The following is a 26,502-nucleotide window of genomic DNA, read 5'->3' as shown; positions in this document are numbered from 1 at the left end:
ATGCAGGCTCATCCTCCATCCTCTGATGACCAAAAATACTGTGTAGCCTCCCACCTCCAAGGGTCGCACCAGTGAGCTCACAAACACACCTGCCTCCCATGCCTGTCACAGCAGGGCTGGGGGAGGATGACACCAATGGAGATGGTGCAACCACAGGCCCGGCCCCACGCCGAGGCCACTACAGGGAGCAGGGAGCCCCGCCCCCCTTCAGCAGGGAACCCAGCCCAGAGAGGGGAGGCGACCGGCCTGGGGCACTCAGCCACGACAGCCCAGGCTGGATGTGGGTCTGCGGGTCTCAGAGGCAAGGGTGAGACGCCAGTTCCTAGTGCCCCTTTGAGGCCTGACACCTCCTCTCTTGGACACTTTAAGTTCCAGTGACCTGGAGACCTCCACCTAGGCGCACCTGTGCAGCCGTACACCCTGGCTCCACAGGTGCGCATGGACGTGCTGGCTGTGCACAGCGGTGAGGAGGCCGTGAGTGGTGTGCAGAGCCGTGTGTGTGGACAGCAGGACATGGCGGGTGAGCCAGTCCCTTTCTCACAAAGGAGCTACGATCCAAGACCCCAGTTGTGCGCATGCGGAAGCAGGAACCACCTCCCTCCCCGCGACGCCCGCTCGGGCGAAGGGACGGAGTCAGCTCGGACTCCGCCAGTGCAGAAGGCAAGCCGCAACCTGCCAGGGAGCATGGGCTGCTGGGCCTCAAAGGCTGTCGGGGGGTTGGCAGGGGGTGGGCTCCGTCAGTTTCACAGCTGCACCAGCCTGCAAACCCATCCTTTCCCTCTCACTCCCTCCACCCGTCTGTCTGTCCTTCTGTCCATTAAGTAAAATGCCTCCCCAGGAGACACAGGGATGCTGGCCATGCCAAGGCTGGCTGGCCAGCGTCCCAAGGGCTGGGGACTCAGTAGGAGCCGTGCCCACCCCACCCTGGCCCCGGCTCCTTTGCATGGGTCTCAGGTCTCGCCCTCCCGGCCCAGCCCCTGGGCTTTCACCCCAGCATGATGCCCACTTATACGTAGGCATCTCCCCCAGCAATGCTCCACAGAGCCCCTGGGCCCCCCAAAACCCCAGGAAGAGGTTGGATGCCCCAGGAAGGGAGCTGTTACCACCTAAGCTTCACAGGCCTTCAGAGATTAGAAGTTGAGGTCCAGAGAGGCTGACAACCTGCCTTGGAGCAGCTCCTCACCTGTGCTGCCCCCAGCCCTGTCCATGCCACCTGGGCTCCTTAATGGGAACCCGCTTCTCTTAATGTCTAGGGGAATTCGTCTGAAAACTATCTCAGGTCGCAGGTCCCCCCAGTCCTACAGACATCCACCCAGTGCCAAGGCTGTGAAATAAGCTCAGTCCTGCAGGGCACTGTCCACTAAGTCCTCGAGCTGCTGAGAACTCATGAACCAATGAACTCATGAACCAATCTGCAGGTCACACGGAAGCTGCCACGAGCTTCCTCAATTCCGTGACGCCGCTGTCCCCCAGCCCCCAAAACTGCTTCTTGTCCACTAGGGTCAAAAAAGCAACTATACAAAATAGAAAGGGTCGAAAAACAAAACACAGAGGAAAGAAATTCACCAAAATGCCAAGGAGAGCGCTCGGCCGATCCATCAGACCAGAGCTAATGCTGCTTTCTCCCTTCTCAGTGTTATTTATTTTCCTGTGGAACAAGTATTACATTTATGATGGAAAAAATAACTACTGATTCTAATTTGTTCTTAAAACCCCAGATGAGTAGTCACACGTGGGCTGCTGTTTATTTCCCTGCCTGAACATTTCTGAGGGAGCAGGGAGGGGCAAACAGCGAGTTTGGACCTCGGTGTCAGGTAGTAATTCCATGTTTCTTTCAGCTTCTTGGAATCGATCTTGATTCCCTCTAAAACAATAGAAGTCGCGAGCAACATATTCTGCCAACAAACCGCAGCCACCATTTTTGTTTTTCACTATAGATCAAAGGTCACTGAAAATCAGAACCAAATGGGCTGAACTTTAATTAGCGACAGGTCGGGAAGGGCTGAGCCGCACCCAGGCTGGGAGCTTTCCTGGAGGAACTCCAGGTCTGCCCCTGGCTGAGAACACAAAGCCATCCAGAAAGACGCAGGGGAACGTGCCCTGGGAAGCCTCCTGCCTGGGCAGCCCATGGACTCCCCCGCAGCTCCCAGATCCCTGCCCCAAGACTCTCCGGGCTACCCCAAGGGCCCTCGTCTGGCCCAGGAAAGCAAATGCCGGTGGAAAGCAAAGGCTCTGGGTTTTCTGAAATGCCTTCCCAAGTCTTGACAAAGCCCTTTAGTAACCTCAGTTACTTTAGAACCCAAATGCCTACCTGTGGGGCCCGTGGCTTTCCACAGGGGAACTTCCTCCAACCTGCAGCAGGTGGCTCCTGCCAGCCACAGCTTGGCGGGGACCAGCCCCTGGCTCACACACTCACCTCCACAGGAGCCAGACCCTGGGCACCTTCCTCCAGCCCTAAAGGCCCCATCCTGCACCCACCCCTAAAGGTACCCAAAAGCCACGTCGATCCCACCCACAGTCACCTCTGGACCCATTCCTTAGGGCCTAGAGGCCCCACTGGACCCCAAATTCCGTAAGTCATGCAGCCGATTCAGAACAGCGGCTGCCCCCAAAGCACCAGGCCTGCATGAGCCCCTTGCCAGGCACTCGGAATTGGCCTCCCAACTGCTGCCATCTCCCAGGGTCCCGGAAGAATCTAGATCGCAGGTCTGGGTAGCTGAGGCAGCTCCTAGCCACCTCCCACAGCCCTGCAGTGCTGGACCTGCCACCCCCACCTGGTGGTGTCACCCCTACTAGCTAGCACAGCAGCACTCCAATGCATTGTACTAACGGAACAGACCACCTTCTTTATTCACCAATATTTTACACTAAACATCAGCATATAGAACAAAGAGACACTGCTCAGTTTAAGGAGGCTGTAGGCCTCTACACCCCCACAAATCAACCATTCCTCTGCACCAATCCTGACCACAGTCACCTCTGAGAACCTCCAGGGAACCCTAGGGTTCCATGGGGGCATAGTTTGAGAAACACCAGTGTAGGCCTCAAACTGGGCCTAGCCCAAGGCCTTGAGCGACAGCAGGACTGAACAGACTGGGCTCACAAACACCTTCTGGGCACCAAGAAGGGCCCCCCGCCCCCTCGCCCTCCTACCTGGAAGCCGCGATCTCAGCCTTCTGCTTGGCGATGGTGGCGGCCCGCTCAGCGGCCTCAACGGCGCGGTCCACCTTCTCGCGGATCTTGCTGGCCCGCAGGGGGATGAGGTTCTTGCGCTTGCCGCCGACGAGGATGTTCTGCTTGTACTTGCCCTCCTCCTTGGTGCCGTCCGGGAAGGTCATGCAGCCGTAGCCATGGCGCCGGTTGCTGGCCCACTCGCCCTCGTACTTGAGCCCGTCCGAGCGCTGGCTCACGCCGAAGCCGGAGCGTTTGTCGTTCTTCCACTCGCCCACGTAGGTCTCGGTGGTGGTGGCGTCGATGTCGTCCTCGATGACCGCCAGCTCGGCCTCAGCCTCGCCCAGGCTGATGGTGGAGTGGATGTCGCTGGCCGTGGAGCTGACGGTGCTCATGCCCGCCTCGCTGCGAAAGGAGCTCTGCTTGCTGCGTTGGCTGGCCAGGCTGCTCTTGGACTCCGACTTGCGCAGCTTCAGCCCACTCAGCAGCGAGCGCCGAAACAGCCCCTTCTTCTTGCTCTTGAGGATCTCGGAGTCACTGTGGGCCACGAGCACGAAGCCCCCGCGGGACACGGCCGGGCTGCCGGCCACCGCCGGAGAGGCGTCGGGATGCAGCGCCGTGCCGTTGGTGTGCTCGCTGCGCAGGGAGTTGATGGACGTCCTCAGGGGTGAGCGGATGACCGCGGCCATGCCATACGGGACGCTCTGCCGGACGCCGTAGCCCTGGCGCATGCCACCGACCCACTGGCCCTGGTAGGTCCCTGGGGAGAAAATGAGAGAGGGGTGAGTGCCCAGCGACAGAGGAGGGGGCACAGCCTGGCCACGGACAGGGTTGAAGCAGCCACAGTCCTGTCTGAGCTTCCTGTTGTTTTGTGTTTTTTGAGACAGGTTCTCGCTGTGTTGCCCAGGCTGGAGTGCAGTGAGACCATCACAGCTCACGACAGCCAGGAACCCCTGGGCTCAGGCGATCCTCCTGCCTCAGCCTCCTGCGCAGCTGGGACTACAGGCGTGCACCACCATGCTCCACTACTTTGTAAATTATTTGTAGAGATGGCAGTCTCATTATGTTGGCCAGGCTGGTTTCTAACTCATGGGCTCAAGTGATCCTGCCTCAGCCTCCAGAAGTGCTGTGATTACAGTCATGAGCCACACCACTCCTGGTGTGCTATCTTGATGAAACCTGGTGAGGTTTGCGTGGAGGCAGACAGACCATGGTACCTTCCTACAACTTCTATCACCAGTGGCTGTTTTTGAAGACACCTCCATCCTGCTTCTCATGGCTAGATCTTGTTCTCTCTTGGAAATCGGGGAGGGAGAAGGGAGGCATCAGAGTCTGTGGTGCAGAGTGAGGACCACAGAACCCAGAGTGAATACGGAGCCCCTGCCAAGGGCACAAGGAAACGCGTCCTGGGTTAGGAGGCTAATGAGTGGCAGCTACAGGGACACAGGTGTGGGCTACACACTAAGCCCTGAATGGGCTGCTCTGGGAGACAGTGAGCTCCCCATTGCTGGAGGTATCCAGGAAGACCACACAGTGGACACACCATGGAAGAGATTCAAGGGCATAGGGAAGGGACAGTGGCCCATGACCTTCAGACATAAAATCAGCAGACCTGATATCCCCAGAAGAAGGGAGGGTGGGGACTGCAGCAGCTGCCTGTGCACCTGGGTTCTCAGCAGCACTGTTTCCATGGCTGGAAAGGGAAAGGCAACCCACAAGTCCATCACCTGGTAAATGGACAGACGCCATGCGGTCCGTCCATACGATGGAACATCATTCAGCCTTGAAAAGGTAGAACATTCTCACACAGGCTGCAATGTGGATGAACGCTGAAGACATTACACAGAGTGAACTGAGCTGGGCACAAAAGGCCACATATCGGATGATTCCATGTACACGGGGTCCTTAGAGTAGTCACGCTCAGAGATGCAGAAAGCGCGGTGGGTGCAGGGGCTGGGGAGGGTTGTGGGGTCAGTGTTGAATAGGGACAGAGTTTTGCAGTAGGATGATGGGAAAGCCTTGGAGGTAAACAGTGATGACAGCTACCTAACACCGTGAAGGTAATTAATACCACTGAATTGTATACTTAAAAGTAGCTAACGTGGTACATTCTGTATTTCTCTTACCACAATAAAATAAAAAGGAAACCCGGTCAGCAGACCTGGGCCCATGTCTTGCTCTGTGAGCTGTGACTCAGGGAAGTTTCTGGGCCCCGCTGGCCCTCAGTGTCCTCGTCTGTAGAGTGGAACCAGGACTCCTCATGCCAAAGGTCACCGTGAGGACGGCTGGGCCTCAGCACGACGCCCAACGCGGCAAACCTCAAGCCTCATTTGTCATTTGAGCTTCTCCCTGCAGCCGGGCACTAACGGCGTGGATGTGCCACCCTGGAAAGGGCTTTTGCGGGGAGAACAGAGTCCGTCCACCACTCTTCCAACTCACGGTGGCACAGGCTGCAGACCAGAGGCCTGGAGGCCGAGACTTACTGATACGTAGGTTTTATTCGTCCCACCGCTGTTTTCATAAAACATTGGAATTACCTGCTAACAACTCAAAACCAAGAGATTTGACATAAAAATTCAGCTCTCTTCTGTCTCCTGAAAAATGAGGACCTGGCCACCCCGACCTCTCTTTTCAGAGGACAAAATGGACAGGAGCTGGCAGCAGCTGCTCCTGTTCTGCCAGTCACTTTTTAAACGGAGAGGCTGCAGCGGGTGGCAGGTGCCGCCATCTCTCGGAGCGAAGCAGCCCTCCACTCCCCACTGCCCCCCCCCTTTCCCTAGCCAGGCCCCCTCCACTCACACGCCCCACACCAGAGGGTGGGATCCAAACTAAGTGTGGAATTCAAAGTCCTGTAGCCTCAAGTGACCTGTCCGTCCCCAGGGTATCCCCACACCCCGCCACCTTCACCCGCCACCCCCCAAAGGGTCCTGATCCTTCCAGGCTTTTCTGTCCAAGGCTCTGTTCACGCTCTCTCCTCTCTCACACTCCCACCCTCCAATCGAATCCCATGGGCTCCAAGCCAGCCCCACCCCTCCTCCACAGCACCTCCAAGCACCCCAGGGCCCGGGCCCAGAGCCCCCATGCCCGGCACCCGCGGCATCCAGACTCAGGACAGTGGCTGGGGTCTTAGATGTTCCAGAATGTATCTTCCAGCTCAACCACATCACGAGCCCCCAGAGGGACTTGTGTTGCAGGCCCCTCACGCCCCATGTGGCATATGGCCCAGCCAGGGCAGAGAAGGGGCGTGCAAAGATCACCAATCAGGCTGCAGCCCCGGACAGAGCCCCTGAGGCTGCCTCACTCCAAGAGATGGTGGCACCTGCCACACGCTGCAGCCTCTCCGTTGAAAAAGGAATCGGCAACGCAGCCTCTGAGGGCAGCTTCTCCAGGAGCAGAGCCTGAGCTGGGGATCCTGTGAACGTGACTTATTTGGGGCTGGAGAAGGGGGGTACCAGGAAGAAGGACGTGGCAGCAGAGGACGGGGCCGAATGAGGTGGTCTCAGCGAGAGGTCAGCTTCAGCCTCGTCCCACTTTCAGGCAAGGGGATAGGATGTTTGGGATCCCACACTGGTCGGTCATTCTGTACCCCCAAAGCTGCTTGGGGAGGCAGCTAACCTGGAGGCAAGTCCACTGCCATCAACGTCGGAAACAACCTCACTGCCATCAACATCAGAAGCAACCTCACTGCCATCAACATCAAAAGCAACCTCCGACTCCAGTGATGGGGCTCCTGCCCTCCCACCCACTAGGCTGTGGCACCTTCTCCTACAGGATGCCAAGAGCCGGGCAAGCAGGGATGTATGTGGACCGGACCCCAGGGACCCCACAACACCACTGCACACCTTTCCAGAGTGTCAGCCTCAGCCTCTTGCCCAGAGGTCCCAGCACTGGGGGCAGTTGTGATGGGCACGGGGAGGAGGCAGAGGGGGCAGCTGACTCGGAACCACCCGGCACCCCAATGCGAACCACACTGGGGGGAAACCCTGTGGCTTGCTCCACACCCGAACGCCCTTCCAGGCTGGGGTTGTGAGGAGGAAACTGGAACTAGGCTCGGTGGGTCTCAGGGGGTGGCCCTTTACCAAGGCCAGACCCGCCCACACAGTGGCCTTCCCATGGCCAGTCCAAGCTGGACACAGGCTGCCATCACAGGGACCCTCACCCCAAGACTGCACCCTCAGCGACTGCCCCTTCCGTGCCAGGGCTGTGGACAGGGTTGTCACATCAAACACAGGACGCCTGGTAACATCTGAGTTTCAGATGAACAACACATCGTTCTTTAGGGGACACGCTGCATGGGACATACTTATATTTAAAAAGCGTTTGTTGGCTGGGTGGGGTGGCTCATGCTTGTAATCCCAGCACTTTGGGAGGCCGAGGCGAGCAGATCACCTGAAGTCAGGAGTTAGAGACCACGCTGGCCAACATAGTGAAATCCTGTCTCTACTAAAAATACAAAAAAACTAGCTAGGCATGGTGATGGGTGCCTGTAATCCCAGGTACTCAAGAGGCTGAGGCAGGAGGATCACTTGAACCTGGGAGGTGGAGGTTACAGTGAGCACAGATCATGCCACTGCACTCCAGCCTGGGCGACAGAGCAAGACTCTGTCTCTAAACAAATACATAAATAAAAATAAAAAGCATTTGTCGATTACCTGGCATGCACAGGTAACCGGACAACCCTTTTTTTTTTGAGATGGAGTCTTGCTCTGTCGCCAGGCTAGAGTGCAGTAGCGCGATCTCAGCTCACTGTAACCTTTGCCTCCCAGGTTCAATCGATTCTCCTGCCTCAGCCTCCTGAGTAGCTGGGACTACAGGCATGCACCACCACACCCAGCTAATTTTTTTCTGTTTTTAGTAGAGACAGGGTTTCACCATGTTGGCCAGGATGGTCTCAATCTCTGGACCTCATGATCCGCCCACCTCAACCTCCCAAAGTGCTTGTTAAATTGGGCCCCCCCTCAGCTGGAACTCCAGGAAGGTGGGCTGCCCCCGCAAAGTGGAGGATGACCCTGGAAAGAGGAGAGGCTCACCCACTCCCTGAGATCCCTCCTCCATCAAGGGATGCTCCAGCTTACAGATACAGATGGGAACAAGAGCTGAAAAGTGAAGGCATCGGGGATAAAATGACGTGGTCCCCCCATGCAGTGGAATATTCCTCAGCCTTAAAAAGGAAGGAAAGCCGGGCACCTGCTGCTTCCTGGATGAGCCTTGAGGCCGTCATGCAGTGGAATAAGCCAGGCTGGAAGGGACAAATCCTGTGGGATTCTACTCTCCTGGGGTCCCTGGAGTCATCAGACTCATAGACACAGAAAGTAGAACGGAGGGTGCGAGGGGCCAGGAGGGAGGACAGGAGGGAGGACAGGCGGGAGGACAGGCGGGAGGCCAGGAGGGAGGCCAGGAGGGAGGACAGGAGGGAGGACAGGCAGTGAGCATTTAGTGGGACAGAGTTTCGGTTTGGGAAGATGAGAAAGTTCTGGAGATGGAAAAGTTCTGGTGACGGTTGAACAGCGTGAATGTGCTTAATGCCACAGAACGGCACACGTGAAGATGACTGAGACGGGACACTGTAGGTTATGTGTATTTTTCCCTCAACGTTTAAAGTGAAGGTGCCCAGTTTGCCCACCAGGAGCTTCATGCAGGGTCTGGTGGAGCCATGAGGTGCGGAAGGCTCTGGGGTCAGGAAGGGGCTAGGAGGCCTCAGACAGACTTGAGTTCGAATCCCAACTCAACACTTTCTCAATCTACAACCTTGGGAATGTCTGGGTTAACCTCTCTCTGACTCAGTCTCCTCATCTGCAACGAGGGGAGGGCGGCTGTGCAGATCACAGGGTAACTGCCTTAAGGTGCTGGAAAGTCGCTAATGCTCGATTGATGGTAACTATTATGATCATCGCAAAAGCCCTGCACCTCTCTTCCCAGGTGAGGCAACTGAGGCTGGAGAGGGGCTGTGGCCGCCCTAGGAACACACAGCCAGGAAGCGGAAGCGGCAGCGTTAGAACCCAGGGCTGTCACCTGAGGCAGAGTCTGGATCCAGGTTCACCTGTCCTCCCCAGGTGCCAAGGCTACCCTCCGTCCTGGGCCCACTGCAAAGGCACCAGGCTGGGGGCCACACTTCACATCCTGAGAGATTCGTAGGCAGATCCCTGCTTCTTCCCTTGGATAGAGGGTGACGCCAGGCTGGGGTCAGGAAGGGGGACTGGGGCACCTTCGCTGTGTCCTGTCCCTGAATTCTCAGCACTCTATGGCTGGATGTTGTCGTTCCCATTCTACAGGAGGGGAAGCAGAGAAGCCTCTCTACAGACATGGAGACCAGAGGCCAACACTGGCTCATTCTCAGCAGGTGAGCAGAGCAGGGACCCCGGGTCCCGGTACTCCTCACTCTCCTCACTCCCCAAGCCCTGCCATGAACCAAGCCGACCCACCTCAGCCCTGCCCCTGTCCCCTCCTACCTAACCCTTGTCCTCAGAGGGGAGCCAGGAGCCCTCATGTTCACTGTTCCGGCACAATTCTTGAGGCCGCCCCTTCAAGTGCTCTGTACAGTCCTGGTCTGTGGATCATGGTGGTCGCTCCTGTGTCTCCCCAGTAGCCTCTGGCGTTCCGGCCATGAACAGCACCCCCACCCTGTGCTCCACGGTCCAGGCACTTAGGTGTCCAGTGAACGTGTCTGTTCACCAGCAAAGGGCTGGAGCAAACACAAAACACAGCTGAGACAGGAGAATCATTTGAGGCCAGGAGTTCAAAGCCAGCCTGGGCAACATAGTGAGACCCCATCTCATTAAAAATTAAAATTTTAAAAGGAGGCCGGGTGTGGTGGCTCATGCCTATAATCTCAGCACTTTGGGAGGCCAGGCAGGTAGATCACCTGAGGTCAGGAGTTCGAGACCAGCCTGGCCAATATGGTGAAACCTCATCTTCACTAAAACTATAAAAATTAGCAGGGCATGGTGGCGGGCACCTGTAGTCCCAGCTACTGGGGAGGCAGAGGCAGGAGAATTGCTTGAACCCAGGAGGCAGAGGCTGCTGCAGTGAGCCAAGATTGTGCCACTGCACTCCAGTCTGGGCAACAAGAGTGAAACCCCATCTCAAAAAAAAATTTTTTTTTTAAAGAAAAACACAAAACAGCACTGCTCTGACAACACAGAACACCAGCAGCCCCCGCACGGGGTGCTGGTCACACCCCCAACTGGAGCTCGGCATGGGAACACCACCCAGGAGGCCAGCATCTGGAATCCTTGAGCAAGAAGCCAACCCCGGGGGCACAGGGAGTCTGCTTTCCCTCGACATTCGCCCAGGGCACCACGAGGCGGAATGGCCTTCAAGCATAGACTCCAGTGGTGGCTGTTATCCCAGGGTTGTCCCCGAGAAAGTCCCAGATCTGGAAAGGAGAGCAGAAGGGCCTGTGAGTCACTAGGGTCTCACCCAGCTTTGTCTTTACAACTTCGGACTCCACGTCAGCGCAGCACGTGACTGGGTCCCATGACTCCGGGGGTCAGAGACATGCACACAGGACACACTTCAGGCCCAACACCGGCGCAAAATGAGAACAGACCCCGTACCACAAGCCTTCATTTAAAACACACACACACACACACACAAACACACACACTCTCTCTCTCTCTCTCTCTCCCCCATAACATGAACAGGTAAATCCAGAGACAGACGGATGATGGCCGGGGAGGAGCAGGAATGGCTGCTCACAGGGCTGGGGTTTTGGGGTGATGAAAGTGGCCTGCAACCTGATAGAGCTGATGATCAGAACCCCGTGAATGTGCTAGTGCCACTGAATTGCATATTGTAAAATGTGAATTTTATACTATGCCAATAAAACAACGTAGTGAGGTGAGGGTAGCAGAGCAGGGGGCGGAAGCACAGCGAAATAAAAATACAGATGTAAGATTTCCGACTCCTAAGATAAAAGAACGGCTGGTCAAATCCTAGGGGCTTTGAGAACACAGTCAGGGACCCAGGATCTCGCAGCAAACTCCCGTGGCCGACAGGGCCTTGTGGAGGCCTGACCCCCGTCATGCTGGAGCCTGGCCGGCAGTGCTGGGGAGCGTGTGGACCTGAAACCAGGCAGCCGCGTCCAGGCCCCACTGCGCTGCGCGTACTATGGCCGGGGAAGGTCAGTCACATCTCGGAGCTGAGTTAGTTTCCACACCTGTAAGATAGGGTGACAATCGCACCCACCTCTAGGTTTAAGCGACGCATGAACTGACGGAGCTCTGGCCATGCCTCCCGGCACAGTGTAATGAGGGTCGCCGGAGTCTTTCCTGCCCCGTGTTTGCAACTGCACGGTGTTGGATTTTTGCCCCTGGTGGGAACATAGCTCTGATTTTATAACTGATATCAGTAAGAAAAGGGGTTTGGCTACACGAAAGCACACGGCCTTCAGTTCTGCCGTGACTGCCTGCGTAGCCTGACCTCATCACCCCACAGCAGAGGGCACCAAAGCGCCGGGAACAGGCAGTGAGGGACAGGGCTTCCCCCAGACGGGAGCTCTGCGGGCTGGGCCTCCACGCTCGCCGCAGTTGCTCCTCTCCCTCGCTCCCTCGGTTGCTCAATAAAGCGACAGCCACTGTGACGGAGCTATTGAGCGCACACGCCTGCACCATCAGCTCGGCCACCCCCAGCCCTTTGCATTTATGCTTGATTAAGTAAACAAAAAGTCTGGGCTCAGTTCCTTGGCTGTGCCAGCAACACCCTAGTGCTTGGCGGCCAACCGCGGCTGAGGGCAACTGAGCTGAACGGCGCAGATGCAGGACGCCCCCGCCCCCACCCCACCCCAGGGCACGTGGTGGAGGCCTCTCCCAAGGTCAAGATCCAAGGCTGTGGGGGGCAAACCCAAGCCGCTGATTCCCAAAGCCTGTCCCATCGAACCTAACTGGTCACCTGCAGAACAGGCGGCTTGTGTGCATGAAGACAGGACCCAGTGTCGGGGGGACAAAGCTGCCCCGCAAGCTGCCCATCTCTGTGGGCCGCCGCGAGGGTCTGGCTCGGTCAGCACGGCCCCCAGAGCTAGATAATGTCCTGTCTGCTCCAGTTGCCCTGGCCCTGGGGCCCCGGAAGACACCCCAGAGGAAGGTGGGTTCGCAGGGTGCCCTGCTTCCTTCCAGACCCTCTCAGGAGGGTGTGGCTGCAGTGGATGTCGGTGCTGCCTCCGCACACAGGAGCCCCCGGCTCTGCTGCAGCCACCTCACCCACCGATGGCCCAAACACTGAGAGAGGAAGTCGGAAGACGTGGGTGGACCCCAGCTGAGGAACAAACCCCCTAAACCTTGCCCGTGAAACGCCGACTAGAACCACCACAGACTCGCAGAGAGCGGATGAGATGAGGCCGCCAGCAGGTGTCACTCGAGCCACAGCTGCGTCCCCACAGGGCTGTACCCCTCCCTTCCTGTTCTGCCAGGCTGGCATGGCCTGAGAAGCTGCATTCCTAATGCTCAAGGGACCCTGCTCGGAGATCCGCTGGGACAGTCACTCAGCGCCTGGCCTGCTTGGTCAGCAGCATTGTCTGGGTCCGAAAGCCAGAGCCCTGGGCCAGCACAGCCCCTCAGCCGGCCTTGTGGGTAAGTATGGCTGGCAGGCTCTTGCTGCTGCCTGTCTCTCACCAGGGCCTGCACATCTCACACCCTTGTTTCTTTTCCTCCTCTGAAGCCCCACCCGTCAGCTGACACTCTTCCCAAAACTTTAGTTTCGGAGCCCGGGGTCCCAGCTGGAGAGAGCGCAGCCCTCACCAGGTGCTCCACCTCCTCAGGGCCATGGACAGATGCCCCAGGTCAACACCTCCAAAGAGCACCTGAGAGGTCCCAGGGTGGGGCAAGGTGAACGCTTTGCTGGGAGGAGCAAGGAGCCCACTAAAGACCTGAGCTCATGGCCACAGCCCTGCCCAGGAGACACTCACTCATGTGCGGCCCCGACCCATGAGTTCTGGCAGGCAAAAGCCCCCACCCAGGCTCCCACTACTGTCCCAGAGTCCAGTGGAGGGAAAAGGGGAAACATTTCCATGGCTCCATGCAGGCGGAGGTCACCTTTCATCCACACACTACCCCGGGAGCTCAGCACTCTTACTGTGTCCACTTAAAGAAGGAAACTGAGGCAGAGACAGGTAAAATAACCCCAGTGTCACCCAGCTAGAGCGGGACTGAAACCTACGCTGAGCTGATCCGAAGCCCACACAGAGCGTCTCTCAGCCAGTCCCATGCTGTGCCTGCCCACTCGGGGCTGAGGCCCAACCCCAAAGCCCGTCCTCTCCCACCCTGGCGGGTCACAGCCTCCGTTCTGGACTGGACCACTGATTCACTCTGGCCCGCCTCACCTGCCTCCTATAGGGCCCGTTTCCCATGGGTGGGCACGGGCCAGAGCCCCCCTCCCGTCACAGCTTACCAAATCCCAATTAGATCCACCAGCCTGGGCCTGGGGCAGGGGAGCCCAAGGTGGTGGCTCTGCGGCTGGGAGGAGACGAAGCCTGCAGGGACCCCTTCCCACCTGGAGGCAGGGACGCAGAGAAGCCAACCCGCAGAGAAAGGAAGAAACAGGCACCACTGGGAAGGCGGCCAGGCCTCCACCCTGAGGGAACTCAGAAGTGGCTCCTGTGGGCTTCCGATGGCCTCCCCATTCCCGGCTCTGACACCCCTCAGGCTGGCCCATATCGACCAGCACCCATCTTCCACTTGAGCCGCTTTGGCTGGGTTTCTGTCCCCTATACCCACTCTCTGCCCAGGATGCCCCGGAACAGACCCCTGTCTTTGGGGTCTTCGCCTGTTGTGCCCCCTCTGGGACCCTCACAGATCAGGGACCAGACCCTGGGCACAGGTCCAACGTGACAGTGAGAGCCCTGCGCTGGCCAACAGACGGCATTCACAAAGCTCCAGGGCTTTCTCCACGGGTGGCCCCCATGCCCCGTGCCTGTCCCTCCTGCCTCTCTGCACCCACTTTGTCCCCGGCTGCACGGAGCCCCATTCATTGCACGGCCGTTTCACAAGCACATAAATTACAAGCTAATCCTATGCCGCAAGGTATTCGGGTCGCTCCTCCGTTTTCACAGCTAATCTTCATATGACATTAAAATTTATCCTTAGGATAAATTCCTAGAATGAAATTGCTTGGTCAAAAGCAAGGGTTTGGGGTTATGGTTTTTCAGAAATTACCCTCAGAAAAGACTATAAGAGAGACCATGTCCCCTACATCGTTACTACCAACACCAGATTTTTTTTATTTTTCGCAATGGAGTCTCATTCTGTCGCCCAGGCTGGAGTGCAGTGTGTGATCTTGGCTCCCTGCAACCTCCGCCTCCCAGGTTTAAGCGATTCTCCTGCCTCAGACTCCCGAGTAGCTGGTACTACAGGCGCCCGCCACCACACCCAGCTAATCTTTGTATTTTTACTAGAGACAGGGTTTCACCATGTTGGCCAGGCTGGTCTCAAACTGCCCTCAGGTACTCCGCCTGCCTCGGCCTCCCAAAGCACTGGAATTACAGGTGTGAGCCACCGCGCCCCGCCCATCATTTAATATATATATATATAAATTTTTTTTTTTGGTTAATCTTAGTGGAGTTCTGAATAGTTATGTCTGCCGGAATTCACTATGGGCTTAATTGCGTTTCTCCAAAATGCATATGCTGCAGTCCTACCCACCCCCACCCCCGGCATCCTCTACCACCTTAGAATGTCACCTTGTTTGGAGATAGATAAGGTCTTTAAAGAGGTGGCTGAGTTAAAAATGAAGGCACTGGGGGTCCTCATCCAATAGGCCTGGTGTCTTTCTATGAAGGGACTCAGAGGCATACAGAGGGACAAGCCCACGAAAACAAAGAACAATCAACTCTCCCAGCACCTTGACCCTGACCTTCCAGCCTTAGAACTGCAAGGAAATAAACTGTGGTTTAAGCCATGCTGTCTGTGGTATTTTGTGATGGCAGCCTGAGGACACAGAATTCTCAGTCTCTAGCGAGGTGATTAACTATATAAATAATGAAGTAAAAGGACAGGAGAAGCGTGGAGGCTCACACCTATAATCCCAGCCCTTTGGGAGGCTGAGGCAGAAGGACTGCTTGAGCCCCAGAGTTCCAGACCAGCCTGGGCAACACAGCAAGACCCTGTCTCTACCAAAATTTTTTTTTTTTTTTTGAGACAGAGTCCAGCTCTGTCGTGCAGGCTGGAGTGCAGTGGCATGATCTCAGCTCACTGCAACTTCCACCTCCCAGGTTCAAGCAATTCTGCTGTTTCAGCCTCTGGAGTAGCTGGGATTACAAGTGCACACCTCCATGCCCGGCTAATTTTTGTGTTTTTAATAGAGACAAAGTTTCACCATGTTGGCTAGGCTGGTGTCGAATTCCTGACCTCAAGTGATCCACCCGTCTTGGCCTCCCAAAGTGCTGGGATTAGAGGCGTGAGTCGCTGCACCCAGCCAAAATTTTGTTGAAATTAGTGTGTTTAGTGGTGCACACCTGTAGTCCAGCTGCTTCAGCCCAGGAGGGGCTGGAGCCCAGGAGATTGAGGCTGCGGTGATCGTGCCACTGCACTCCAGCCTGGGTGGCAGAGCAAGACTCCATCTCTTAAAGTTAGGACAAACCAAGAAAAAGGATAAAAAGCCAGATTGCTGAGAAATATAAATAATGAATGAAAGGAAGAGAGTTTTCTCTCCTTCTGCAGAACCCAGGAAGAAAAGTTTCTAGGCCAACAATCAGACAAGCCCACCAGGCAGAGGAGGGTGGGGGAGGACTGCCAGGGAAGTGCTCTTTTTTTCGTCTTTTCGCCAATGCTTCAGCAGGCACTGGGAAAGTGCTCATTCTGAACCAAAAACCCTGCTTGCTACCCCACCCAAACAGGGAGGATTACTTTATCCAGGAGAGAGGTGGAAAATTCCTCTGAAAAAACAGACTGTAGCCAGAAGCGAAGGCTGCCACACACACAAGTTTCCACTCAGCTTTTTCGTACCTCACTTTAATATATGAACAGTCAACGGTCCTCAGACACAAGGAGAAGCCTTGGCAGGGACAAAAAAGACCAAAACTTACAAATAAGTGGGAAAAAAGAGGGGGAATCAGAAAATGCAGCAGGTGGGAGAAGACATCGAGGGACCAGAATTTAAATCCTCAGAGATAAAATACAAAATGAGAATAAAATGCAATTAAAAAGGAAAGACCAGGGATAAAGAGCTTCTGGAAATTAAAAGTATAATAGCTAAAAGAAATATTTTGGTAAATAAGCTGGAAGATAAAAATCAAGAAAATCTTTCAGAAACTAGATCAAAAAAAGAGGTAGGTAGGCAAAACAGTAAGAAAATTAAAGGACTCATCCAGAACACCCGAACTCTAAACAGCAGGAGTTCTAGAAAGCAGGGAAGGAAAATGGGCAAAGATTTAAACAGGAAAGTCTCCTGGAATGGAAGGGTGTGAGCGTCCAGACTGGAGGGCTCACAGATACCACACAATGAGGGGAGAGACACCCAACCAAGATACAGTGGCATGAAATTCAGAACTCAAATGACAAAGACCCTAAATGCTTCCAGAGAAACATAAAAACAGATCACAAATGAAGGACTGAGAATCAGAACAGCATGGGCTTCTCAAGAGCAACACTGAACCTAGAAGTCAGTGGGAAACTGCACCCCCACCGCCCCAAATTATGAGCAGAAATGATTTTCAACCTAGCATACTATGCATACCAATTTATCAAATAATCAAGCCACAGAAACTATATCTTCCATGCATCCTTTCTTAGGAAGCTACTCCAGGATGTGCTCCACCCAAATGAGGGAGGAAACCATGAAAGAAGACATGAGAAGATCAAACACAGGAGAAGTGAAGGAAATACCCAGGAAAATGGGGGAAGAATTGGGAAGAAGGCAATCAATCAATAAACAAACGTATTTGTACATTTGTGTGTATTACTGAATCTGGCAGGTTTGCTCAAGTGCAAGCTGCATTTGAGAGGTGTTTCACTGAGCAGTTGGAAGGTGAAAAAAGAACCAGTGATTTAAAGAAAATTGCAACTGAAAAAAAGCGAGACAATTACTAACTCAAGTTATGCATGAGAAGTGTACAGAATCAGACTCCATTGCCTGGCTCAGCAGTAAGCAATACTTACATAGTCATAATGAAAAACACTGAGTATGGATTTAACAACAAAAAATGCAATATAGCAATATTGAGATAGCTGGGAGTGGGGAGAATGGGGGTCTAAGGGATTGAAAATCTCCATCTACTACAGTAGGAGTCAACAGATAATGGCTAAAAGTGACCATGAGCTCAGGAAGCGGCAAACACACCCACTTAAAAACATGGTGGTCAGTCTCTGAAGACACACATGATTTTTGCTCCAAGCTCTATTTTGTTTTTAGCACCAAATGTCACCTTAAACTATGGGCACATAATAGCTCAATAAGGATTAAAAATTTTAAGGAGGAGGGGAAGGAAAGATGCGTTTATGAGAAGATTCTCACAATAGTGATATTAACCTCATTTTTCCAGCCACAGAAACTAAGGCTCAGAGGGGACTCGTACGTTGTCAACGTGGGTGTGGGTGAAGACCTGAGCCTGGCCTCGATGCACAGTCCTGCTCCCCAGGGAGGACTGGCTGGGGAATGCCAGGAAGGGGCAGGTTCGTGATCTCCCCAGAAGGACAAGGGGAGAGGGGTCAGCAGAGGTGGTGTCAGAAGGTCTGCAGATGAGGGTGAGGAAGATGATTGTGGCAGGGTGGACATGCCAGAGGCCAAAAGCACCGTTTGCAGACACCATCCCCCTAGGGTGGGAGGTGCCAAGAACAGCAGCTGGCCCCAGAGGTGGGCAGCAAATAGGACCCAGGTGCGTCTTGACCCCACTCAGGTGAGAAGGGATTCGGAAGGCCAGTGCCTCCAGTGTGGGGGCTGAAGGTCCACCAATCTGTGCTGTGGGGACAAGACTCAGACAGTCAACTGAGTGGAGCAGCCACGCCCCAACTGGCTTCCAGCATGGACTCTGGGCAATGTTTTGACTTTGCTTCTTCCACTCTCCACATGGGTTCATGTGGTCTTTTTTTAACTTTTTCTTTTTAAAAAATACTTTAGAGCAGTTTTAGCTTTAGAGAAAAATAAGTGGAAAGTACAGAGAGTTCCCATATACTGTATCCCCTCGCCCCCCACTTCCCCTGATATTAGCATCTTGTGGTACATCTGTCGCAATTGATGGGCCAAGACAGATACATTATTAACCAGAGCCATGGTTTTCATCAGGGTCCACGCCTTCCATGGGTGTGCACAAAGGCATCCGGACATATACTCGCCATTAGAGTATCTCAGAGTAGTATGACTGCCCTACAAATCCCCCGGGCTCCGCCTGTCTGTCCCTCCCTCCCCCCCAACCCTGGGCAACCAATGATCTTGTCACTGTCTCCAGAGTTCCACCTCTTCCAGAACGCCATCTAGTTGGAACCCCACGGGATGTGGCCTCTTCACACGGGCTTATCCCGCTGAGCACCAGGCATTGAAGGCTGCTCCGCGTCGTCACCGCTGTTTGCTTATCCACTTCCCTATTTAATGGCATCTTCGCTGCTTCCGACTTTGGGCAATTACAAATAAAGGGAATGTCTTTTTCACATCCAAATTAAAAAAAAAAAAACCCACAAAGATGGGATGGACCAAATCTCAGAATAAAGAGCATTCTTTTAAATCAAATATACGTTATCTTTACTAAAATATACATTATCTTTACTAAAACTCCTGCATCAGCTGCCTTTTGTTTTGTAGTGGGGACAGAAAAACCTTCATGAGCCACCGCAGCAGTAGCCCAGCAGTCAGGAACCCCAGCTGCCGCGTCTGAAGGACACGGTCTGCTGGCATTTGCTGAGCACTTGTGAAATACCGAGACAGCAGCAGGCATGGAGTCACTTCCCCATGACACACAGAGGCTCAGAGAAGTGAGTCACTTGCCCAAGGCCACACAGCAACAAGAGGTGGAGACCTGGGCCCCCCCCACAGCGTTAGCCCTGGAGCCTGGAAGGAGCCTTGGAGACTCCGGACCCAGCCCTTCTGTTCACCCCCATCCCTGACATTGAGGAAGCCCCACACCCAGTAACTCTGGCTGATTTGTGGACCCAGGGCAAGGCTAAGAAGTGGGGCTCATCTGTAGACCCTACCTGACACTCTGTCCACTGGGAGCACAGTGACTCCCAATGAACATTGGGAGTGACTGAGCATCCTCCCAGCCACACCTGCTGGGGACCGACTCTGCTTTCTCTTACCCCGACCTCACCCAGGACGGCAAAGCTCTCCCACCTCCCATGAAGGCTGACGCCTCCAAGGCCACTCACCACACATCCGGGCCACGCTAGGGGTTTCCACGGGCCACTGAATCGATTCTCGCACAGCCCCGCGAGGGAGACATTAGCATGTTATTGTGCCCATTTTACAGATGCCAACACCGAGTGATGAGGTTAAGCCACTTGCCCAGGTGCTAACGTCAGGTAAGCGTCTGAGCCAGGACCCCTACAGGCATGTCTGCTTCCAAAACCCACACTCTGTAGGAATATTCTTTACTGTCACCGGGCAACAGAGCAGGCAAGGCCATCACTCACGAAGGCCAGCTCCGGCTCTGATCACGATCCGGCCCCACCCGGCCCCTCCCTCACTCACTCAGGAGGGCAGACGCCAGGGATGGGGGCTCACTCTGAAGTGCGGCAGCTAGGGAGGGCACCGCCCAAGGTGGCAGCCCTGTGCCCAGCATGGGGGCTCTGGCCCCTGAGGGCTGGCTTGTCCTGGGCCGTGGAAGGGTCCTGCTGCTCCTTCTGACCCGCCCATGCCAGCACCATCGTCTCCCAGGTGAGCAGATCAGACGCACAGGCTCAGGAGACCTGGGCGTCCTGCTGGCTTCTGATTTTTAGCCTCTTGCATGCCTTGTGGGGCCTGGGAGAGCAGGAACTGTCCCTTGCCCTTAACCCCAGCTTCCTCCCTCCTCTGTGGGGCGTGAACAGGGGAGGCAGGAACAGGACACAGCACATAAGGGTGTCCCTCCCAGTCCTGCCCCTGCCAGACCCATGATCCCCTCACTGCCTGCTGCATAGCTCTGATGTTGGGAACGCTCACCCAGGAGGTGGTGGGGCCCACAGGCTGGCCTGGCAGACAGCAGGGTTAGTGGAAACCCCTGCGAGGGGCGGGGTGGCCTGCAGGGTGCCTGGCTGATGCTGTTACCTGTGCAGAGATGGCACCTCGGGGCAGGACTGGCCCCTCTCCAAGGAGAAAACCCGCCCACCGGCATGGGTGGAAGTCGGGCAAATCTGAGCTCGGATCCTGGCTGTTAGCTTCCTAGCCACGTGACCCCAGACAGAAGTCCTTGACTTCTCTGAGCCTCACCTTCCCCATACTGTAAGATGGGGATAAAAAATCATTCCCTCCAAGCTGCAAAGGAGCACAGCAAAGGGATGAGAGCCTGGGAGCTGCAGCCAGATGCCTGGCACCAACAGCGGTCACAGTCCCTTCACTGTCCCTGCCTGTAAAACAAGGACCACAATCTCCACCTCCAAAGGCACTGGGAGGAACGGGTCTGCACTTACAAAGCATGTTAGACAACACTGGGCACGAGGCCCACCCTGTGTGTCTACTACATAAAATCCATGGGTGGTCTCAGTGGTCTAACCTGTGAGCATGCAGAGGCCTACAGAAGGTTCTGGAGACCGCTGCTGTTATCGTTACAATAGCGCCAAGACCCCCTCAAGCTGGTGGCGCCACCTGGGAACCCTGAAATGCAGGCTCTGCAGCAGATTTTCAGCTCACCCCAACAGCTGCATCAGGAACTGGGGGCTGGGGCCCCACAACGTGGGTTTAACAACCTCCAGGGGCCCTAATGCTCCTCAAGCTGAGCCACGGCTCTAGGGCAAAGAGGCTTGAGTTGGAATCACCTGGAGAACTTTGGCAACTAATGACTGGCCTCGCCCCCCGGCCCAGAGACACTGATTCAGCGGGGCTGGGGCAGGCCCGGGCTTGAGGCTTTTAAGAGCTTCCCAGGTGATTCTTATTTCAGAATCAACCACCTTTTAAAATTATCTTTTAAAAAACTTTTTTTTAATAAATAGAGATGGGGCTTCACTATGTTGTCCAGGCTGGTCTTGAACTCCTGGCCTCAAGAGATCCTTCCACCTTGCCCTCCCCAAAGTGCTGGGATTACAGGCATGAGCCACCATGCCCTCCTCTATTTACATGATCTTTTAGGACCAACACTCTTGCTGCTGAAGAGCTGTGCCTGAGTGAAGCTCACGTCTTCTCTTGAGAATCCCTTGGTCCCAGCCAGCACCCGCTCCCGCCACTTCCCCTTGGAACATCTGCATCTCCAACCATCCCAACCTTCCCAAGGGTCAGGGTTCTGGACATGCACCACCCCATAGGCTGAGTGGCTCTGAGTGTGGCGGCCTCAGGCCGAGGACTGCGTGGCAGGGAGGCCGCCCACTCGGGGTGTGGCTTGGAGCACCGGGCTCAGGCAGGCCCATGGGCATGTGTAGCTATGAGCCGGCACCTCGGGGAAAACCTGGGCACAGGGGCCCCCACACCACTTGGAGCCTGTCTCCGGGCCCCAGGTGAAACCTCACAGGCCTCGGTCTCCTGGGCACTGGGCTCAATGGCCGTGGTGGTGCTGGGAGGAGAGCCCCAGTCCTCCTGGAGGACTCGCGGTCGGAGAGAGGCAGGCGGGTGGGAGTTGTGTGCTCAGGCTCTGTGCTAAGCCACCAGGGTACAAATCCCAGCTCCATGGTGATAACTGTGCGGCCTGGGGTAGTTAAGCAACCTCAGTCTGCACGTGTGCACAATGAAATATCACAGGATAAAAATGATTCCCACCCCACAGGGCTGCCTTGAAGACCCAGTTACTAAGCACAAAGCAATGGGAGTGGCCCCACAGACATGAGACCCCGGCCGCTGTTGCTCTTGGCACCCCCAAGGAGGCTCCTCCCCCACCAAACACCTGTTGGAGGGTAAACACCCCCGATAGCAGTAACTTACGCATACTCCAAGAACAACCTGAGCTAAGGAATCCAGGAGTGGCCAATCTGGAGATTGCCTCCTTGGCTATGAGGAACTTCTGAGCCCCTGGCCTGTCCCGTGGAACGTGCGCTGTGCAGGGGCTTGAGGCCCTGAGTTTTGGGTTGAATGAAGGTTGGCAGGTGGAGGTCATCAGGGGAGGGTATGGGGTGAACATGCCATAGGAACTTTGCGCTGTCTACAAGCCGCTGCGGTTCTCCCGTCCCTGCACTTCCCTCCCCACCCCACGGCTCGCAGTAAACCCCGGGTCTCCTTTGCTAGCCCTGGGTCACTTCTTCAGCCCTTGAACCCTGTGCTGTACCCACTGGTGTTGACAGGGGTTTGGCACAACATTCATTACAGCTTGATGAAGGCCCCCCAGGAACCCCTGTTAGATCCTCACGTCTCCCCCAGTCTGCGCTGTGAGACATAGGGCAACAGGTGGGGCCAGTCCTCCTCCTCCTCCTCGCCACTTCCTTCTTGGGACCTTGGCTGCAGTGTGCATGCTGGCCCTGCTCCTCCTGCTCAGGGGGCCCCTCTGCGAAAATGGCAAGTGACCGTGCAGCACCAAGGGCAGGGTTCAGACCTCTCAGGTGGGTGCCCAGCGGCTGATGATGGGGCTGGGCCCAGGCAGCCTGCGAGCTGCTGGGGGCTGGTGTGGAGGAGGAGAGTGACTGGCCAGGACCCCCGAGGAGGGAAACACTGAGGGTTCAGGAATGACCCACCTGCCCAGCACCGACTGTGTGCTCCAATAGTCACAGCTGTCACTGTCACCCCACTTCCTCCAAACGCAGACCTCACCATGCCCAGTGGTCAGTCGCCAGGTGGAGCCCTGGAAAAGACTTCTCAGCTTCCAGAAGTCTCTTTTTAAAAGAAGCCATGGGCCAGGTGTGCTGGCTCACAGAGTGAGACTCCGTCTTAAAAAGTATATAAAATAAGGCCAGGTGAGGCAGCTCACGCCTGTAATCCCAGCACTTTGGGAGGCCAAGGCAGGTGGATCACTTGAGGTCAGGAGTTCGAGACCAGCCTGGCCAACATGTTGATACCCTGTCTCTACTAAAAATACAAAATTAGCCGGGCATGGTGGCGCATGCCTATAATCCCAGCTACTTCGGAGGCTGAGGCAGGAGAATCCCTTGAACCCGAGAGGTGGAGGTTGCAGTGAGCCAAGATCACGCTACTGCACTCCAGCCTGGGCAACAAGAGTGAAACTCTGTCTCAAAAAATAAAATGAAATAAATAAAAACTAAAAAAAGCTGTGGGGTATGTGTTCAACAGCTCTTCTCAGAGAGTTGGGCCCAGAGCGACCCAGCCAGGCCACCCCACAATCTCCACCCAGGAGGAAACGAAAGGACGCAAATGGTCACAGCAGCACGACTCAGGATAGCCCCCAGGTGGAAACAGCCCAAAAGTGACCCAGGGCTGGCAAACAGCCCAAACCTCTGCCAGCTTTAGGCTGTTTCCACCCATGAGCCATCCTGAGTGGTGGCAGATTCACACAAAACGCGGTGCCCCGCAGTGGAATATTACTCAGCGATACGAAGAAGTGGACTCATGCAGCTCCCACGCGGGTGAACCCTGAAAACAACGCTGGGCAACAGAAGCGACACACAAAAGGCCTCTCAGCGTATGACTCCACGCATGCGAAACGTCAGGAGCAGCAAACCCACAAAGACAGAAAATGGAGTCTCGGTCACCAGGGGTGGGGAGCCGTGGGAATGGGGAAGGGGTAGCTAGCTAGAGGGTTTCTTCTTGAGACGATGAAAATGTTCTAAAATTGATTATGGTGAGAGTGACACAACTCTGAATATTCTAGAAACCACTGGACTGTACAGTTTAAATGGGTGAATTGTACGGTGTGTGAAACATATGTCAGCAAAGCTGTATTTTTTAAAAGCCAGACTTACTGGAGCCCTTTTTCTGCAATCAGGGAATGAGGGGGACCCTCCATTTGGGGAGTGACAGCGACAACCTGGCCTCTGGAGGCTGCCCCAGCCTCAGCCCTGGGGAGGGCCGCACAGTTACCCTGTCCCCTCCCAGCTGACAGGGACACACCTAGACTTCTGGGCAACGCCAAGGCCATGTTTAATGGCAACACCCTCCATTCCCATTATGGGGGCTCCATGGTGGCTCTCAAAGGAGGAGGATCTTCCAGAAAGCTTGCTCTGCGGCCTCGGGGGACCCCACAGCTGGGCATGTGGTCCCCAGGGAGGACCCCACAGTTTTCAAGCTTTGCCCCTAAACCTCCAAAGACACCCCAAAATCTGCCCAGAGGGTCCTTGTGGCCCATGCGTTGTGGGGGAGTGTTCGGGCCAGGACCAGTGCAGGACTCAGAGATGGGGCCTCAGATTTCAGGCACCACTTTGGCTCCGAAGGAGGAGAGTGAGGTGAGGGGGTCCGGAACTCGGGGTCTGCAGCTCCCAAGGGGTTCACAGAAGGAAATAGAGGTTGTTTTGTTGGGGAATGAAATTGCATCCTTATTTTCACTAAGCTTTACTTGAAATTTAACATTTCCTTAAACTAGAAGATGCCTCAAGCCCACAGTGGTACTGGCCACATCGGTGACTCTGTCACTCATGGAAACGGCATGTCCCCCACACAGCGGGAGCAAACATCCCAGGATAGGGTTACCCCAGGTCCTGCCCTGGCTGGGGAGCCCCCCATGAGCCTCACGCCCACCCTGCTGGACATCAGAGCAGCCAGCCAGGGAGGAATGAGCCAAGGACATCAGTGTCCACCCTCGCCTGCCCCTGCAGCCCTCTATGGATACTGGCTCCGAGTGTCAGCCAGGCCTTGGGGGAGGGATGCTCAAAGCAAGGAAGGTGCTGAGGTCCTTGCAGGACCACACAGCTCCCAGGAGACCAGGACGAGAGCTTGGCCCACGCTGGAACCCAGGCTGGCTGGGCAGTATCCGGGGTGGGCAGAGTGGACTCCTCCATTGAGGCCCCCACTGCTGCCTCAGAATCTGTGGGGCTGGCCTGGGAGGGGCCTGGACACTCCTGTGGCTCCCCTGCCCACAGCCGACCTCCACCAGGTCCCCCTCTGAACTTACCCCCCTGTGGGACCCAGGTAGTAGCGGCCATCGCAGAGAAGGCAAGTCCTCTGAGACCCTGGGACCCCAGGGCCCTCTCATACCCCCAATGCCTTGCCAGCCCTGGAAGGGTGACCAGAGGCTGAGTTGGGGCAGGGCACTGGCTACACCACCTCCCCAGCCCCCCAGCCCCAGCCCACGCTCCCCATCCACTCCAGGTTTAGAGCAGGACCAGGCCTCTCAGCGGCAGGGTGGGGCGGGGGGGGGTCTGATTTATCAGGAGGAGACCCTGACCATCTCTGGGGCTCCCCCAGACCCCATGCACCCTCAGCTCCTCCTGCAGGTCCCAGCCCTCAGTTCCTCATGGAACTTCTTCTGAGCCCGCCTCTGGCAGACTTCCATCCCAGCCACAGCCTCGCAGAAGGGAGAGCTCTCCTCCTACCCCAGCCACAGCCTCACAGAGGGGAGCTCTACTTCCCGGCCCTGCCACAGCTGCTGCTTCACAGGAAGGAGAGGCTGCCTGCACGCCCCTCTGCAGCCAAGGGCCACAGCACCTGGTAGTCACTGAGAAATGGGAACACAGCTGGAGACACCCTCCCACCGCCAAAGGTCAGCAGCACCCGTTCTCACTCCAGCCACTCTCTGTCCTTGCTCACGGAGGCTTGGGTGCCCCCTGGGAAGCTGACCTCAGACCCAAGCCCAGGAGGAGAGGAGGAAATGGCTGGGCTTTCTGGAAACTTCCCCTGAGCCATCACCCAAGAGTCCTGGAGACGCAGGGACGCACAGGACCAGCTGAGGCCTCGGAAGGCAGGCAGCTCTGGGGCAGACGGCGGCAGAGAGGTAGCTTGTGGGGTGGCATGCGGCTGGCTCTGAGGCATCCCCTCCACCCCAAAGGGGCCCCCCCCTGACACCTGGAGCTCCTGCCAGGCTGCGTCGTTCTTCTGTTGGATATAAACCATCTCCCAGAACACCCCAGTGACCCCAGACAAGGTCACTCTGAGATCACAGTAGAGTGAGATAGAAACAGGTCACTGTGCCACCCACGATCACCAACCATCCCCCCTCTCGACTAAGGGGAGGGGCGGCTGCTTCTTGACCCATCTCCGCATTATTTTGGTGCAGGTCTCCCATGTCTACAGGCGACAGTGACCAACGCACCCACAGGAGAATCGCCCCCTTTCCAACAGCACTTGGTCTAGTGAGCCCTACGTCCCTAGACTGTCCCCTCCCCACCACCCACCCAAACCCCAAACCCTAGTGGGGCTCTTCCCAACACCCTCTTGCCCCGTGGTTCCTGGGGGAGTGTCCACCCTCATTGC

At 55.8% G+C, this 26,502-nt stretch overlaps 1 protein-coding gene across 2 annotated transcripts in view, besides 1 other annotated feature; it reads right to left on the bottom strand.

The window, feature by feature from the left end:
• The window catches only part of JPH3 (junctophilin 3), a 96,322-nt gene that overhangs the window by 49,968 nt on the left and 19,852 nt on the right, over positions 1 to 26,502 (bottom strand). For both annotated transcript variants that reach the window (NR_073379.3, NM_020655.4), the window contains exon 2: positions 3,154 to 3,931. Coding sequence is in view for 1 of the 2 variants with exons in the window: in NM_020655.4 (NP_065706.2) it covers positions 3,154 to 3,931 (778 nt within the window). In the remaining variant the exon portion in view is untranslated. The remainder of the gene's footprint in view (positions 1 to 3,153; positions 3,932 to 26,502) is intronic.
• Positions 12,292 to 12,471: an enhancer, noted in NCBI's record as "active region_11324". NCBI's record gives its function as "activates an Ori minimal core promoter by ATAC-STARR-seq in GM12878 lymphoblastoid cells {active_cell/tissue: GM12878}" and the evidence as "EXISTENCE:reporter gene assay evidence [ECO:0000049][PMID:35858748]".

This window comes from Homo sapiens, chromosome 16, assembly GCF_000001405.40.
Source record: "Homo sapiens chromosome 16, GRCh38.p14 Primary Assembly".
Lineage (NCBI taxonomy): Eukaryota > Metazoa > Chordata > Mammalia > Primates > Hominidae > Homo > Homo sapiens.
This window is presented reverse-complemented; position numbering and strand designations above follow the sequence as displayed.